The 15,265-nt window shown below is 59.1% G+C and overlaps 2 protein-coding genes across 39 annotated transcripts in view, besides 7 other annotated features; one reads left to right on the plus strand and one right to left on the minus strand.

Moving 5' to 3' along the window:
- Positions 1-500: a silencer, noted in NCBI's record as "silent region_3529". NCBI's record gives its function as "represses an Ori minimal core promoter by ATAC-STARR-seq in GM12878 lymphoblastoid cells {active_cell/tissue: GM12878}" and the evidence as "EXISTENCE:reporter gene assay evidence [ECO:0000049][PMID:35858748]".
- Positions 153-13,774, plus strand: SCYL1 (SCY1 like pseudokinase 1). Of its 36 annotated transcripts, none has more exons than NM_001425203.1 (18): positions 153-334; positions 624-784; positions 991-1,113; positions 1,194-1,420; positions 1,853-1,943; positions 2,032-2,187; positions 5,699-5,857; positions 6,646-6,753; positions 7,762-7,875; positions 10,297-10,452; positions 11,023-11,211; positions 11,329-11,404; positions 11,656-11,820; positions 12,056-12,198; positions 12,879-12,950; positions 13,037-13,252; positions 13,340-13,394; positions 13,512-13,774. In NM_001425203.1, the coding sequence occupies exons 4-18, from the start codon at positions 1,248-1,250 to the stop codon at positions 13,634-13,636; spliced, it is 1,998 nt and encodes a 665-aa protein (NP_001412132.1). In that variant the 5' UTR covers positions 153-334; positions 624-784; positions 991-1,113; positions 1,194-1,247; the 3' UTR covers positions 13,637-13,774. The 36 variants fall into 36 exon arrangements, with proteins under 36 accessions (NP_001412132.1, NP_001412133.1, NP_001412134.1 ...); NM_001425204.1 differs by having other exon boundaries at positions 12,882-12,950; NM_001425205.1 differs by having other exon boundaries at positions 12,107-12,198.
- Positions 5,352-5,520: a silencer, noted in NCBI's record as "fragment chr11:65297753-65297921 (GRCh37/hg19 assembly coordinates)". NCBI's record gives its function as "represses an EF-1alpha promoter that drives an FKBP-Casp9 reporter gene in an ReSE screen in phorbol 12-myristate 13-acetate-treated (for megakaryocytic differentiation) K562 erythroleukemia cells {active_cell/tissue: K562(+PMA)}" and the evidence as "EXISTENCE:reporter gene assay evidence [ECO:0000049][PMID:32094911]".
- Positions 13,074-13,578: an enhancer, noted in NCBI's record as "H3K27ac-H3K4me1 hESC enhancer chr11:65305475-65305979 (GRCh37/hg19 assembly coordinates)". NCBI's record gives its function as "activates a minimal SCP1, AML or CMV promoter by ChIP-STARR-seq in naive H9 embryonic stem cells {active_cell/tissue: H9 hESC(naive)}" and the evidence as "EXISTENCE:reporter gene assay evidence [ECO:0000049][PMID:30033119]".
- Positions 13,579-14,082: an enhancer, noted in NCBI's record as "H3K27ac-H3K4me1 hESC enhancer chr11:65305980-65306483 (GRCh37/hg19 assembly coordinates)". NCBI's record gives its function as "activates a minimal SCP1, AML or CMV promoter by ChIP-STARR-seq in naive H9 embryonic stem cells {active_cell/tissue: H9 hESC(naive)}" and the evidence as "EXISTENCE:reporter gene assay evidence [ECO:0000049][PMID:30033119]".
- Positions 13,629-15,265, minus strand: part of LTBP3 (latent transforming growth factor beta binding protein 3) — a 19,801-nt gene continuing 18,164 nt past the window's right edge. For 2 of the 3 annotated variants that reach the window (NM_001164266.1, NM_021070.4), the window contains exons 24-27: positions 14,790-14,951; positions 14,618-14,698; positions 14,398-14,529; positions 13,629-14,301 (exon numbers count right to left, since the gene is read on the minus strand). In NM_001164266.1, coding sequence (NP_001157738.1) covers positions 14,150-14,301; positions 14,398-14,529; positions 14,618-14,698; positions 14,790-14,951 — 527 coding nt within the window. In that variant the 3' untranslated portion in view covers positions 13,629-14,149. Of the gene's footprint in view, positions 14,302-14,397; positions 14,530-14,617; positions 14,699-14,789; positions 14,952-15,082; positions 15,224-15,265 lie in introns of all 3 variants that reach the window. The other variant, NM_001130144.3, reaches the window with a different exon arrangement.
- Positions 14,939-15,138: a silencer, noted in NCBI's record as "silent region_3530". NCBI's record gives its function as "represses an Ori minimal core promoter by ATAC-STARR-seq in GM12878 lymphoblastoid cells {active_cell/tissue: GM12878}" and the evidence as "EXISTENCE:reporter gene assay evidence [ECO:0000049][PMID:35858748]".
- Positions 15,189-15,265: part of a biological region, named in NCBI's record as "Sharpr-MPRA regulatory region 4001", that runs on past the window's edge.
- Positions 15,189-15,265: part of a silencer, noted in NCBI's record as "silent region_3531", that runs on past the window's edge. NCBI's record gives its function as "represses an Ori minimal core promoter by ATAC-STARR-seq in GM12878 lymphoblastoid cells {active_cell/tissue: GM12878}" and the evidence as "EXISTENCE:reporter gene assay evidence [ECO:0000049][PMID:35858748]".

A 15,265-nucleotide genomic window follows, 5' to 3' on the forward strand; every position in this document is an offset into this window, starting at 1 on the left:
CTCTCCCGCCCCTCCCTTGTCCCCGCCCCTTCCCGCCCCAACTCAGGTTCTGCCCCACCCCGCCCCAATTCACGTCCTGCTCCGCCCCGACGTAGGCCCCGCCCTGGCCCCCGGGCCCCGCCCCCGTCTGACGCAGGCCCCGCCCCCTCTCCGCCCCGCCCCGGCTCGGGCGGCCGGAGGACCCGGAGCTAAGGCGCCCGAACCCGCGGCGGCGGTGGGGACGATGTGGTTCTTTGCCCGGGACCCGGTCCGGGACTTTCCGTTCGAGCTCATCCCGGAGCCCCCAGAGGGCGGCCTGCCCGGGCCCTGGGCCCTGCACCGCGGCCGCAAGAAGGTGAGTGCGGCCGAGCTCCGTAGGCCGCGGTCGACCTGGGCCTTGCCTATTCCGCGCCGCCGACCCCGTCGCGTTGCGCCCGGCCTGACGTGGCGGCGGAACCAAGGGGTAGCAGGCCGGGGAGGGGGCGGGCAGTGCCTACGTGGCGGGCGGAGGGACCGAGGGACCGACAGGCGGACAGGGCCGGGGTCACGTGGGCCCGGCGAAGTGTCCCTAAGGCTGACCTGGGGAGAGACCTGGCTGCGGGCCCTTGTCTTCCGGCCACACAACAGCTCTGGGACCATCTCAGGCCCCGCTGCCCTCCCCTAGGCCACAGGCAGCCCCGTGTCCATCTTCGTCTATGATGTGAAGCCTGGCGCGGAAGAGCAGACCCAGGTGGCCAAAGCTGCCTTCAAGCGCTTCAAAACTCTACGGCACCCCAACATCCTGGCTTACATCGATGGACTGGAGGTACCTGCTGCCTTGCCTGCCCGTCTCTGCCCCTCACGATGTCCTGGTTACCCACTCCTGTCTCCCCTCCTGCCCTGTTTCCACCCTATGTGCCCCAGCACCCCCAGATTTGGTTTCCTCTTCCCCATCTCTCCCAACTTCAAGTCGCTTATCTCTCCTTCCTCTCTGCCCCTCCGCCCTTGATAACCCTGTGTCCCCTTCCCCAGACAGAAAAATGCCTCCACGTCGTGACAGAGGCTGTGACCCCGTTGGGAATATACCTCAAGGCGAGAGTGGAGGCTGGTGGCCTGAAGGAGCTGGAGATCTCCTGGGGGCTACACCAGATCGTGGTGAGGTGGGGGGCAGTGGTGATGAGAGCAGGGATGGGGGGTTGCAGGTGCTGGGGCGTGATGGCTCCTTTTGCCCCCAGAAAGCCCTCAGCTTCCTGGTCAACGACTGCAGCCTCATCCACAACAATGTCTGCATGGCCGCCGTGTTCGTGGACCGAGCTGGCGAGTGGAAGCTTGGGGGCCTGGACTACATGTATTCGGCCCAGGGCAACGGTGGGGGACCTCCCCGCAAGGGGATCCCCGAGCTTGAGCAGTATGACCCCCCGGAGTTGGCTGACAGCAGTGGCAGAGTGGTCAGAGAGAAGTGGTGGGTGACTGGGGGCAGCGCGCCCCAACCTGCCCTGTCCTGGAGGCCCCTGCAGCCTCAGGACTCCTAGACTAGTTGGCACTCCCCTGTTCCCTGCTGCCTGGCTGGGGAGGGAATCAGTGTCCCAGGAGTGAGGGACACTCCTCTGCCCCCAGGGTCCTCAGGGCGGTAGGGCGGGATGGACACAGCATTCGGGGTTGGGTGATTCTGAACTTGAAAGCTCTGTGACCTGGACAGATGTGCCTAGTTCTCTGAGGCTTGGTTTTTTTAATCTGTTAAGTGAGGCTAATGAAACCTGCCTCTTGGGACTGATGGCTCAGCTGAGGGACATAGCCAGGCCCTGGCATGCAGTGGGTGCCTGGTGCCCAAGGCAGGCTGGAGGCCTGTGCAGGTGGTTGGTGGGGCCCTAAGAGCTCTGGGTCACTGCCACAGGTCAGCAGACATGTGGCGCTTGGGCTGCCTCATTTGGGAAGTCTTCAATGGGCCCCTACCTCGGGCAGCAGCCCTACGCAACCCTGGGAAGGTAAGTTTCTTGCCCCTGGCTCTTTGCCCTGCCTCAGCCCCTCTGCCAGCTGGCTACCCCTGCCCTGACACTGACCCCTCCCCTACAGATCCCCAAAACGCTGGTGCCCCATTACTGTGAGCTGGTGGGAGCAAACCCCAAGGTGCGTCCCAACCCAGCCCGCTTCCTGCAGAACTGCCGGGCACCTGGTGGCTTCATGAGCAACCGCTTTGTAGAAACCAACCTCTTCCTGGAGGAGATTCAGGTGAGCCCCCAACCCACCCTGGGCTTCGACCCTATCTTTTTCATTCTGCCCCTACCCTGCTTTTCAGGGTACCTCACAATTGACCCTCAGGAGACAAGCATGGACTGTGGAGTTAGGCCAATCCGGGTTCAAACCCAGGCTCCAGCTCATACTTACTCTGTGACTTCCCTTGGCTGAAGTTCAGTCCCAATAATAGTACAGGTTGAGCATCCCTAATCCGAAAATGCATGATCTACTCCAACACTGGAAACTTTTTGACCACCAACATTACAATCCAAGGAAATGCCCATTAGAGCATTTTGCATTTCAGATTTTTTTGGATTACAGATGTTAAATTGGAGCCAGGCGCGGTGGCTCATGCCTGTAATCCCAGCACTTTGGGAGGCTGAGGTGGGTGGATCACCTGAGGTCAGGAATTCGACACCAGCCTGACCAACATGGAGAAACCCCATCTCTACTAAAAATACAAAAAATCAGCTGGGCGGGCATCTGTAATCCCAGCTACTCCAGAGGCTGAGGTAGGAGAATCACTTGAACCCAGGAGACGGAGGTTGCAGTGAGCCGAGATCGTGCCACTGCACTCTAGCCCGGGCGACAGTGTGAGACTTCGTCTCAAAAAAAAAAAAAAAAAAAAGATGTTGAATTGGTATAATGCACATATTCCAAAATCCAAAAAACATCTGAAATCTGAAACACTTCTGGTCCCAAACATTTTGGACAAGGGAGACTCAACCTGTACCTACTTCAAAGGGACCCAGTGAGGAGTCAGAATTGAAAATGTGTGGTATAGTGTTCTGTGCCCAGCAGGCATTTAGGGCCAGCTCTGGTTACTCCAGTCACTCCACGTGTACATTCTGGCTCTGGTCCCCAGGGGTGTAACACCCTGTACTGGCTGCAGGGGGGTGGGCAGCACGGTGTGGAGGAAGGTGAGGCGGACCTAGATCACTGTCCTCAAGAATCTAGCAAAAAGTAAACAGACCAGATCCCCAACCTTGGGAACTCTTGCTGGGGAAGAGACAGAAAACATAAAAACCATAAATAAGAGCCAGGTGCAGTGGCTCACGCCTGTAATCCCAGCACTTTGGGAGGCTGAGGCGGGTGGATCACCTGAGGTCGGGAGTTCGATACCAGCTGACGACATGGAGAAACCCCATCTCTACTAAAAGTACAAAAATTAGCCGGGAGTGGTGGCACATGCCTGTAATCCCGGCTACTCAGGAAGGCTGGGGCAGGAAAATCGCTTGAACCTGGGAGGTGGAGGTTGCAGTGAGCCAAGATTGTGCCATTGCATTCTAGCCTGGGCAACAAGAGCAAATCTCCGTCTCAAAACAAACAAAAGAACACCATAAATAAGAAAACCAGCCAGTGCGGTGGCTCCCGCCTGTAAACCCAGCACTTTGGGAGGCCGGGGCTGGCGGATTATTTGAGGTCAGGAGTTTGAGACCAGCCTGACCAACATGGAGAAACCCCGTCTCTACTAAAAATACAAAAAACTAGCCAGGCATGGTGGCGCATACCTGTAATCCCAGCTACTCCAGAGGCTGAGGCGGGAGAATAGCTTGAACCTGGGAGGCAGGAGGTTGCAGTGAGCCGAGATCGCACCATTGCACTCCAGCCTGGGCAACAAGAGCAAAACTCAGTCTTAAAAAAAAAGAAAAGAAAAATCCAGTGCAGGAAGGAAAGTACTGGAGTGGGTATTCAGGGATGGGCTCTCTGAAGTGTGACATTGGAGCTGGGGCCTGAAGGACATGACTGTGGGAGCCAGAGGGATGGTACCTGGAGTAAGAGTTCCAGGCAGAGGCGACAGCACGTGGAGAGATACTGAGGAGGGAGCCCTCTGCTTTGCCTCTGAACCTTGGTTTCCACATGTGTATAGTGAGGAGCATCTGGGTGCACTGGCCTGCAGGGTTGCTGTAGGGAGGAGGGAGGAAGGCTCTGCTCTATGCAATGCCCGGCCCCAGCCGTGTGTGGGGAAGACAGCGGGGGCTGAGAATCAGAATCAGGAGCAGGGGAGGAGAGTGGCAGACACTCCACAGACCCTGACCCAGCAGAGGTCATGGAATCTTGACTCAGATGCTGTGGGGCGGGGAGGGCCTTTGGAGGGTGGAAACCTGGAAGGAGAAGCTGCTGGAAACGCTGAGACCCCGTTGCCTCCTGGGCAGTGTCGGGGCAGCAGGAACTTTGTTACGTGGAGTTCTCCTCGTACGGCTGGCTCTGCCAAGCTACCCTTCTCCTTAAAGTGTACCCCATAGGAAATAGGGTTTCGGGAGCCTCCAGGAGAACATGGGAGGGCAGTGCCCAGGGGCCCCTCTTCCCATTGTTAGGTGGAGTGGTGGGGAGAACCCAGCTGCTACTCTCTTGATGTATGACCTTGGATGTGATTTAGCCTCTCTGGGCCTTGGCCCCGCTGAACCATGTGATCAGAGCACCAAGCCGGCCTCCCACGCTGGTCTGAGCTGCTCAAGGGCCATCTAGGTCCTCTTTGTCCCAAGCCAGAGGTCGCCTCTCCCCGGCCAAGCCGCGGCTATGGGGGTGGTGGTACAACAGAGAGCACAGGGACTTTGGAACACAACACTGGGTCATGACCCCTGCCTGGCCACTCTTGGCTGCTGACCTTGACCCTCTGTCTCCTCCTTTGTGAATGGGGGGAGTGACAGCATCTTTTGAAGGGTACAGCACAGGAGAGGTGCCAAACCAGTGAGTCAGACCCTCCTCTGACCGCTTCTTAGCTGTGTGACTTTGGACAAGCTCCTTGCCCTCTCTGTGCCTCAGCTTCCTTGTTGGTAAAATGTGGATTACATTAGCACCTACCTGGTAAAGTTGTGAAGAGGACTGAGATAATCTGTGTAAAGGTTTTAGCACATAATCTGTGCTCCAGAAATATGAATTGGGGGTATTATGGCCTCAAAGGGGGGTTAGGAGGACTAAAGGAGACCGTTGAGCTTACAGGCTGGTCCATTTTGGCTCAGTGGGAGGATGAGGTCTGGGAGTAAAGTGTACCTAATCCTTGCCTTCCCACGGCCTACCAGGAACTTCCTGCCCAATCCAGCCAGGGCAGGGAAACCAAGTAAGCCCCTTCACCTCTTTGATCTTCAGTTTCCTCCTCTGTGCTCACATCCTGGGTGGCGAGCAGTAGAGGCAACACTGATAAAGGGCCTGATGCCCTTAGTGATGCCTCTGCTGTCCCTAGTGGCTGCTCTCCCAGCAACAGGTCAGGTAGCCGCAATGGCAGCAACAGTCCCTAACCCACCGAGCATCTGCCGTGTGCCAGCCTGTTCTGCAGCTTTTATGTGCATTTTCTGGTTGAATCCCAGAACTATCCCGTAGATGGTAGAGCTGTTATCCCATTTTACATGGCAGGTAAGTGGGACAGTTGGGCTTTGAACCCAGGCAGCCAGGCTCCAGAGCCCATAAGGCCCATAAGCATCACTTCTCCTTGTCCTCACCCATGGCTGGGTTTGGGCTGCAACCAGGCTGATCTCTTCCCCGGGTCCCGTCCTCACTCCCCCAGATCAAAGAGCCAGCCGAGAAGCAAAAATTCTTCCAGGAGCTGAGCAAGAGCCTGGACGCATTCCCTGAGGATTTCTGTCGGCACAAGGTGCTGCCCCAGCTGCTGACCGCCTTCGAGTTCGGCAATGCTGGGGCCGTTGTCCTCACGCCCCTCTTCAAGGTGAGTGGAACTGTGGGGTCCAGAAGGCTGGCTGGGTGCACAGGAACTGCCAAAGAGAAGGCCCTGGGGTAGGGCAGGCTGTTTAGGGCAGACCCAAGCCCATATGAGCAGGAGCTTCCTGCCAGTGTCTATAAACAGGTACCTGACCAGCTGTCCCCTGGGGAGGAGAGACTCTGCCGCTAAAATCCTTTTTTCCACAAACCTCTGGCTTCACAACCCTCAGCCCTTCCTCCATTTCTCCGGGTCTGACCTGTGCACCTTGGTTCCCAGGGCCCAGGGGATTACCTACTCACCACCCCACTTTGCCCTCCTCCCTCCTGACTGCTTAGCACTCAGCTCACCTGACTTCTGGGGGCTGGATCTTCCACCCTTTCCTCAGACCCCAGCCCGCCTTTTTATGGGCACCTGGCATTCCCTGCCCTCCTCACCTTGGGGAGAACCCTTTCATCTGAAAGACTTGTCAGGAGGGGAGAAGACAACAAGCAAGTCCTGTATAGCTGAGAACCCCCAGAAATTGCAGGCAGAATTTCTGCATATGGCATAAAGGTACCTGTTTGTAGGGAGGGGCCCAGAGCTTTCATCAGCCTCCTGAAAGAGGCCTTGGCCCAGAAAGGTTAAGGGCAAGGCTGAGATGGAATATGGGTAGAGGAGCTACTGAGGAAATGCCTGCCCCCCCCTCCGCCATCACTTCATTCCCACCCTGGGATATCAGCCCCAGGAATTTAGATAAGCCCAGCAAAGTCAGCCCATTCCTGTGAGCAGCTGAACCCATCTTCCTGCCCTTTCAGGTGGGCAAGTTCCTGAGCGCTGAGGAGTATCAGCAGAAGATCATCCCTGTGGTGGTCAAGATGTTCTCATCCACTGACCGGGCCATGCGCATCCGCCTCCTGCAGCAGGTGAGGCCTCTGTACCAGACTCTGTGGTGGTCCACCCAGACCCCAACCTGGTGGCTGGGGAGGCACCTGCCCTGGCTGCACAGGGACCCCAGAAACCCCACCCCTGAACATACACACAACTGAGGGACCCAATGAGGCCAGGCTCTCAGAAAGTTGGCCACATACAGGGCTCCTTGGCAGTTTTGGGAATGGCCAGCTTGCCCAGGCTGCAGCGCTCTAATGCCCCCTCCTCTCCTGGCTCAGTCACTCTGGCCCTCTAGAGTGGGGATACAGTCTTTCTCCTGCAACCCCAGGGCAGCTGGGAGCATCAGACAAGATGGATGGGATCTAGGAAGTACCAGTGGCTCCCAGTGCCATTCCCTCTGTGACCACCAAACACACCAGTCCTCCTCGTGGCACTGTGGGCAGGTGGGGAGGAGCAGGGAAGGGGTGATACCCTCATTTATAGAAGAGGCTCAGGCTGGGCGCAGTGGCTCATGCCTGTAATCCCAGCACTTTGGGAGGGCCGAGGCAGGCAGATCACCTGAGGTCAGGAGTTTAAGACCAGCCTGGCCAACTTGGCGAAACCCCGTCTCTACTAAAAATACAAAAATTAGCCAGGTGCGGTGGTGGGTGCCTGTAATCCCAGCTGCTCAGGAGGCTGAGGCAGGAGAATTGCTTGAACCTGGGAGGCAGAGGTTTCAGTGAGCTGAGATTGCGCCACTGCACTCCAGCCTCGGTGACAGAGCAAGACTCTGTCTCAGAAAAAAAAAAAAAAAAAAAATAGAAGAGGCTCTGAGAGGGTGGCCAGATGAGCCGGACTATGAGCCAGGCCTTCCTAGCGCCCTCCTGGCCTTTCCTCACTCCTCCACCTGGGCCTGAGGCCAAACACCTGGGTGGTGGCTCAGGAGGTTGACCTGGCTGGCCAGTGCCTGCTGGGTGGAAAAGCTAAGCCAGGAGCGGTTCCATGGCTATGGGGATAGAGTGGGAAGGGCTGACCATGTTGACGCATCCCAACCTGGGCCACAGATGGAGCAGTTCATCCAGTACCTTGACGAGCCAACAGTCAACACCCAGATCTTCCCCCACGTCGTACATGGCTTCCTGGACACCAACCCTGCCATCCGGGAGCAGACGGTCAAGGTGGGTGTGGCCAGGCCCAGAGTGGCTACCCCTGGTTTTCCAAGGCTTGGAGGGGCTCACCCTAGACACAGAGGCCTTGGCTTTGGCCCATGGGTCCAAGCAGACACTGTCCTTGCTGTGTGGGTTCAGGCCGTGGGTGCAGCTCGGCAGCTGGCGGGGGAGCACGTCCTCCATTCAGCAGACAACGAGCATCTGCCTGTTCCTGGCCCAAGCCCCATGCTGGGAGGCAGCATGCATGAGGTGCCCAGCCCCCTGCACTCATGGAGCTTCCTTTCCAGGGCACAGAGGGTGGGCTTGCCAGACAATACAACAGAATTAGAAAATATGTATTGTTGGCTGGTCACGGTGGCTCACGCCCATAATCCCTGCACTTTGGGAGGCTGAGGCAAGCGGATCACCTGAGGTCAGGAGTTCGAGACCAGCCTGACCAACATGGCGAAGCCCTGTCTCTACTAAAAAGTACAAAACCATCTGGGGATGGTGGCGCATGCCTGTAATCCCAGCTACTCGGGAGGCTGAGGCAGGAGACTCAATTGAACCTGGGAGGCAGAGGTTGCAGTGAGCCGAGATCATGCCGTTGCACTCCAGCATGGGCAACAAGAGGGAAACTCTGTTTCAAAAAAAGAAAGAAAATATGCATTGTTGGAAAGTGTGGGGAGAAGAGTTTGTGGTTTTAAAAACAGTGGTCAGGGGCTGGGCGCAGTGGCTTACGCCTGTGATCCCAGCACTTTGGTAGGCCGAGGTGGGAGGATCGCTTGAGCCCAGGAGTTGGAGACCAGCCTGGTCATCATGGCCAAACCCCATCTCTACAAAAAAATACAAAAGTTAGGCGCGTATGGTGATGCACGCCTATAGTCCCAGCTACTCGGGAGGCTGAGGCAGGTAGGTAGCTTGAGCCCAGGAGGTTGAGGCTGCATTGAGCTGTGATCGTGACACTGCATTCCAGCCTGGGCAACAGAGTGAGACCTCATCTCAAAATTTAAGAAATTATTTTAGGCCGGGCCTGGTGGCCCATGCCTGTAATCCCAGCACTTTGGGAGGCCGAGGCGGGTGGATCACCTGAGGCGATGGGAGTTTGAGACCAGCCTGGCCAACATGGTAAAACATGGTAAAACCCCATCTCTACTAAAAATACAAAAAATGGCTGGGCCCGGTTGCTCACACCTGTAATCCCAGACTTTGGGAGGCTGAGGTGGGCGGATCACAAGGGCAGGAGATCAAGACCATCCTGGCTAACATGGTGAAACCCCGTCTCTACTAAAAGTACAAAAACAATCTAGCCGGGCATGGTGGTGGGCGCCTGTGGTCCCAGCTACTTGGGAGGCTGAGGCAGGAGAATGGTGTGAACCTCGGAGATGGAGCTTGCAGTGAGCCGATATCGCGCCACTGCACTCCAGCCTGGGCAACAGAGCAAGACTCCGTCTCAAAAAAATAAAATAAAATAAAAATTAAAAAAATTAGCCAGGCATGGTGGTGGGCGCCTGTAATCCTAGCCACTCAGGAGGCTGAGGCAGGAGAATTGCTTGAACCCAGGAGGCAGAGGTTGCAGTGAGTAGAGATCACACCACTGCACTCCAGCCTGGGTGACAGAGTGAGACTCTATCTCAGAAACAAAAAAGATACGGAGACGAGAGTGGCTCTGAGGCTTGTGGCCTGAGCAACTGGAAGGTTAGGAGTTGCTATTTACTGAGATGACACAAGCATGTTGGGCCCCATCTTGGCTGTTTCTGTTAGGCAGCTGGATGGAGATGTCGAGTTGGCCACTGGTTATGCATGTGTGAAATTTAGGGAAGTCTGGGCTAGGGGTATGTGCCTGGGGGTTGTCAGCTCACAAGATGGCATTGAAAGCCATGAAATGGCTGAGATCACCTAGGGCAAGAGTGTTAGATAGAAAAGAGCCCTCTAGATTGGCTCCGGGTGTGTGAACGTTAGAGTCTCAGCAAAAGGAGCAGCCAGCCAGGTCAGAGGAGAACCAGGAGGGGGTGGTGTCCTGGAAGACCAGAGACCAAAGTTTCAGGGAGGGAAAACTCAGGGGTGTCAGAACTGCTGAGGGTCAAGTTTGGTGAGGATGGAGAACTGGCTGTTGAAATTAGTACCGGGGAGGGCATCAGTGACCTCACCCTGAGCCAGTTTGGCAGAGTGTGGGGCTGTTTGTGTGAGTCTAGGTGGAGTGCCATCAGGAGAGCAGAGCAGAGGAAATGGGAAACAGGAGTGCAGACAGACTTTGGAGGTTTTGCTGTAAAGGGGGACAGAAATGGGGTCCCTTTCTTCAACATGCTGGACAGGGCCAGGCCCAGGCTGGGAGGTGGCCTTGCAGGCTTTGATGGGTGTGCTCTGGGATGAGGGCTGCCAGGAGGCTGTTCCTGCACAAGGCCCTTTGCCCGCCACAGCCCACAGTTCCCACTCATTTCTGCCCCACAGTCCATGCTGCTCCTGGCCCCAAAGCTGAACGAGGCCAACCTCAATGTGGAGCTGATGAAGCACTTTGCACGGCTACAGGCCAAGGATGAACAGGGCCCCATCCGCTGCAACACCACAGTCTGCCTGGGCAAAATCGGCTCCTACCTCAGTGCTAGCGTGAGTGTCCTGCACAACTGCTGGAGCCCGGTCCCTGTCGCAGGACCACAGCCTCCTCCAGGGCCAGGAGTCTTGTGTGTGGGGGCCTTCATTCTCCCAGAGACTTAGACCCTGCACGCTGTTGGCCCCATATCTGGGTTCCCAGAGGAGGAGTGAGTTGGCCGAAGTCACACAGTCAGGAGGGATCTGGGATCTGAATCCAGGCGTGCTTGGCCCCATGGCCTGTGTGCATCCCTTCAGCCAGGGTTTGTAAGTTCAGTTGCTTGCCGTGCCCAGACAGTTAACAGGAATGAACGGTCAGCTGGGCAGGGAGGAAGGGAGCCTGTGTCCGAGCCCTGGGGACAGCTGCTGTTGTGGTCCCATGCCCTGAGGCAGTGTGGAACCCAGTGATTTGGGAAGAGAAGCCCAGGTCCAGAGTTTTAGGTCAACTCTCCCCATTTAAGTGATTCATTCATATTTTTCAGATTCTGGGGACCTATGGGTGGTCCCATTCTGGGAAGTAAGGGCTGGTGGTTCTGGGTCCCAACATTGACCCTACACTCAGGAGCCCTCTTTCCTGCCCCATCGTAGACCAGACACAGGGTCCTTACCTCTGCCTTCAGCCGAGCCACTAGGGACCCGTTTGCACCGTCCCGGGTTGCGGGTGTCCTGGGCTTTGCTGCCACCCACAACCTCTACTCAATGAACGACTGTGCCCAGAAGATCCTGCCTGTGCTCTGCGGTCTCACTGTAGATCCTGAGAAATCCGTGCGAGACCAGGTGAGGCACAGCTGGGCCTGGGCCCTGGGCTGGGGCTGTAGGGGATGTCAGCCCCTAGCTGGCCTGGTAGGTTCTTGGGAACCCCAGAGACCCCAGCTCTGCCTCGTTACCCCACAGGCCTTCAAGGCCATTCGGAGCTTCCTGTCCAAATTGGAGTCTGTGTCGGAGGACCCGACCCAGCTGGAGGAAGTGGGTGAGTGGCTTACACTCGTGTTCCCTCTTTCCCTGCCATGTCCTTGACTGTGACCTGTTTGTGTCCCACCCCCACTGGAGTTTCTGAAAGGTCCTAGTGAGCAGACTTGACTCAGCTCCCCCTTCACAGATGGGAGAAATCAGGCCTGGAGAAAGGAGGGGTGGCTGCAGGGCACTGTCAGTTCCTGCTGTCCTGTCACCCATGGGTGCCTGACGTGCCCATACCCACCTCTCTCTCATGCCACTGCCCAGAGAAGGATGTCCATGCAGCCTCCAGCCCTGGCATGGGAGGAGCCGCAGCTAGCTGGGCAGGCTGGGCCGTGACCGGGGTCTCCTCACTCACCTCCAAGCTGATCCGTTCGCACCCAACCACTGCCCCAACAGAAACCAACATTCCCCAAAGACCCACGCCTGAAGGTGAGTGTCCTGGCCTAGCTGCATCAGTGGCTGAGAGGGCTGAGAGCTGCAGGCACCCAGGAACTCTTACTGTCTGACTCCCCCGGGGATGGTGAAGGGGATATAGGAGCTGGGTAGGCTCCAGTCACCCTGTGGGCTTCCTTGGTGCCCCTTCCCCCCAGTAGCCCCCTTCCCCTAGCAGCCTCTGCCCTGTCCCAAGACCCCCCTGAAAGCTCAGTGAGCCTCTGCTCCCCAGGAGTTCCTGCCCCAGCCCCCACCCCTGTTCCTGCCACCCCTACAACCTCAGGCCACTGGGAGACGCAGGAGGAGGACAAGGACACAGCAGAGGACAGCAGCACTGCTGACAGATGGGACGACGAAGACTGGGGCAGCCTGGAGGTGTGTGGGGCTGAGGGAGCCTCCCCAGGGGACCCCAGCTCAAATCCACAGGCTGCCATTCAGGGAGCTTCTGTGGGGCCTGGCTGGAGTTGGCCTGTCCTCATCAGCACAGCATCCCTGGCACGTAGGCCTCATGGAGTGGCCATTGTAGGCCAGAGCCAGCAGCAGGCCCCATTCAACCCCAGCGGCCCCAGGGAGCAGGCTAGGCAGATGGTGCCTGGGGCATTCCCTGAACTTCCTCACTCTTACCCACACCGTCCCCCTTTCCCCTCCTCCAGTGCCCACCCAGCCATGGGGGTCAGCAAGGAGAGGCCACTCCTGGGTCTAGAACCAGACCAGTTCTGCTTGGGGGATGGGCTCAGGTTGGGCTGAGGGAGGACTGGGGCTGTCCTCAGAATGGGGCAGAGCTGGGGGCCCAATTTCCCCATCTGGCTGACAGCAGCAGTTTCTGGCCCTCAAGGCTGTTGGAAGGGGCATCTAGATCTCATTCCCCAGCCTTAAAGAGGGGTGAGGGCAGGCCAGGGTCAGCGTCCATTTAATAGATGGGAAACAGGGCCTGAGGAGCAAATGAGGAGGAAGGCAAAAGACAGTGGTGGGGCCCGTGGCTGGGATGATGCTGGGGCGGGCTCACTTGCCCTTTAGCATGGGGTGGGAGTCAGTGGTCCCTTCCCACACTGCAGCAGGAGGCCGAGTCTGTGCTGGCCCAGCAGGACGACTGGAGCACCGGGGGCCAAGTGAGCCGTGCTAGTCAGGTGAGCTGGGTCTGGTGGGGAGGTGTGTGTATGGGGCTCTTTCCTCCTTGGGCCCAGGGCTACTTCCCCCTCCCGCTCTTCTACAGGTCAGCAACTCCGACCACAAATCCTCCAAATCCCCAGAGTCCGACTGGAGCAGCTGGGAAGCTGAGGGCTCCTGGGAACAGGGCTGGCAGGAGCCAAGCTCCCAGGAGCCACCTCCTGACGGTACACGGCTGGCCAGCGAGTATAACTGGGGTGGCCCAGAGTCCAGCGACAAGGGCGACCCCTTCGCTACCCTGTCTGCACGTCCCAGCACCCAGGTACCCAGCACAGGTCTGGCGAGAGGGTAGAGATGGTGGACCTCAGCCAGAAGTGGGCCCCACTGCAGCCCACACTTCTCTTTACAGCCGAGGCCAGACTCTTGGGGTGAGGACAACTGGGAGGGCCTCGAGACTGACAGTCGTAAGTGCTTCCCCTGGGTGGGCTGAAGACTAGGGCTCCCCGACTAGCCCGCCCCTACAGGCCCCCGGCAGGCACTGGCTGGAGAGCTGAGACCGGGGCTCCCCTTCCTGACGCCAGGACAGGTCAAGGCTGAGCTGGCCCGGAAGAAGCGCGAGGAGCGGCGGCGGGAGATGGAGGCCAAACGCGCCGAGAGGAAGGTGGCCAAGGGCCCCATGAAGCTGGGAGCCCGGAAGCTGGACTGAACCGTGGCGGTGGCCCTTCCCGGCTGCGGAGAGCCCGCCCCACAGATGTATTTATTGTACAAACCATGTGAGCCCGGCCGGCCCAGCCAGGCCATCTCACGTGTACATAATCAGAGCCACAATAAATTCTATTTCACACCCCTTGTGCCGGGCTCAGTCTAGCCCCTGGGAGGCGGCTGGGGTCTGGCGCCGCCCTGCGCAGCCCGCGCCCACGTCAGACGTGAACATCAATTTGCTTCGAAAGCCAAGGGTAAAGAGGCACGATCTGATTTATCAGTTTCTAGGAAACACCCTCTGGGAGGAAGGCAGGCAGCGCCCGCCGGAGACCTTACAACCGCCCGCTAACCGGGGAGGGGGGCCGGTAGGGGCGCCTCGGGTCTCAAGGCGCCGGGAGGGTCTGCGGGCCCTGAAGGTCCCTGGGTCCGAGCCACAAGTCGGGGCAGAAGTGAGGCCGAGCTCGCGGAAATCCCTCAGTGATCACCGAGGTCTGGGCCGAGGGCGGCGTCGGCGGCGTCAGCGGCGGCGCTGGGGAACGCAGGCCCCGTGCGGGCGGCTGCGCGCGAAGCCGGCTTTGCAGACGCAGCGGAAGGAGCCGCTGGTGTTCACGCAGCGCTCGCTCTTGCACAGCAGCCCGCGCTGGTTCAGCTCTCGGCACTCGTCGATATCTGAAGGTGAGGGCGACAGGTGCGGCTTCGCTGAGCCTCCAGGCGGCTCCTCACCACCGGCCCCGCCCCTGCCCCCACCCCCGAAGCCCGGCTCACCCACGCAGCGGGCGCGGGAGGCGTCGAGCTGGAAGCCGCCGGGACACTCGCACACGGCGCCGCCCGGCCGCGGCACGCAGCGGCCACTCACGCAGCGACACTCGTCTGAATCCTCCTCTGAACTGTCCTCATCTGCGTGGCCCGGAACAATATGGACTTCAACACTGAGCCCCGGCCAAAGGCTACCAACCCCGCCACCGCCCGACCCGGCAGCACTCACCTCTTGGGGGCTTCCCCAACAGCAGGGGGCTTGTGTCCCAGAAGGAATTGCTCTCGCTCTGCGATGTCGGGCAATGGGACCCTGGGAGGAGCAGAACTGGTCAGCGACGTCCGGGTCCCCGGGCCCTGGCCCCCATCCTCGCTCCCGGCCAACTCCTCCCCGACTGCCTTACCCGCGCCGCGCGGCGGGCACGGTCGGCATTGGGCGCCCCAGCCGCGGCCCTGGCGGCAGCAGCAGTCGTCGAAGGTGAGGGCAGGCCCGGCCAGGGGGCCAGCGCACATGCCGTCCTCTCCGCGCTGGCTCCAGCACACGTCGCGCCGCTCCGGGGCACGCTCTGCGGAAGACACCTGGCATCAGGGGAGGGGCCCAAGGCAGGAACCGCCCGCCTCCGCCCCACCCCACCTGCGCGGGGGCCACGTGACGGACAGGGCCCCGGGATCGGCCAAGGCCAACCCTCGCCCTCACCGGCCGGGCTCTCGGGGAGCTGGCAATCGCGGCCGGAGGGCCCGGGCACCCAGGGCGGGCGACACTCGCAGCGGTAGGAGCCCGGCAGGTTGACGCAGCGGCCAGGGCGGCAGGCTGCCGGGTCCTGGCACTCGTCCACGTCTACGAACAGCGAGGGGGTGGGTGGGGGCCGTCACAGCTCGG

Source organism: Homo sapiens, chromosome 11, assembly GCF_000001405.40.
Source record: "Homo sapiens chromosome 11, GRCh38.p14 Primary Assembly".
NCBI classification, from domain to species: domain Eukaryota; kingdom Metazoa; phylum Chordata; class Mammalia; order Primates; family Hominidae; genus Homo; species Homo sapiens.

Coding starts and splice junctions, on each gene's coding strand:
- SCYL1 (NM_020680.4), top strand. CDS start 224: ATGTGGTTCTTTGCCCGGGACCCGGTCCGGGACTTTCCGTTCGAGCTC. Junction 785..990: donor CTTACATCGATGGACTGGAG/GTACCTGCTGCC, acceptor CCCCTTCCCCAG/ACAGAAAAATGCCTCCACGT. Junction 10,453..11,022: donor GCTCCTACCTCAGTGCTAGC/GTGAGTGTCCTG, acceptor GCCCCATCGTAG/ACCAGACACAGGGTCCTTAC.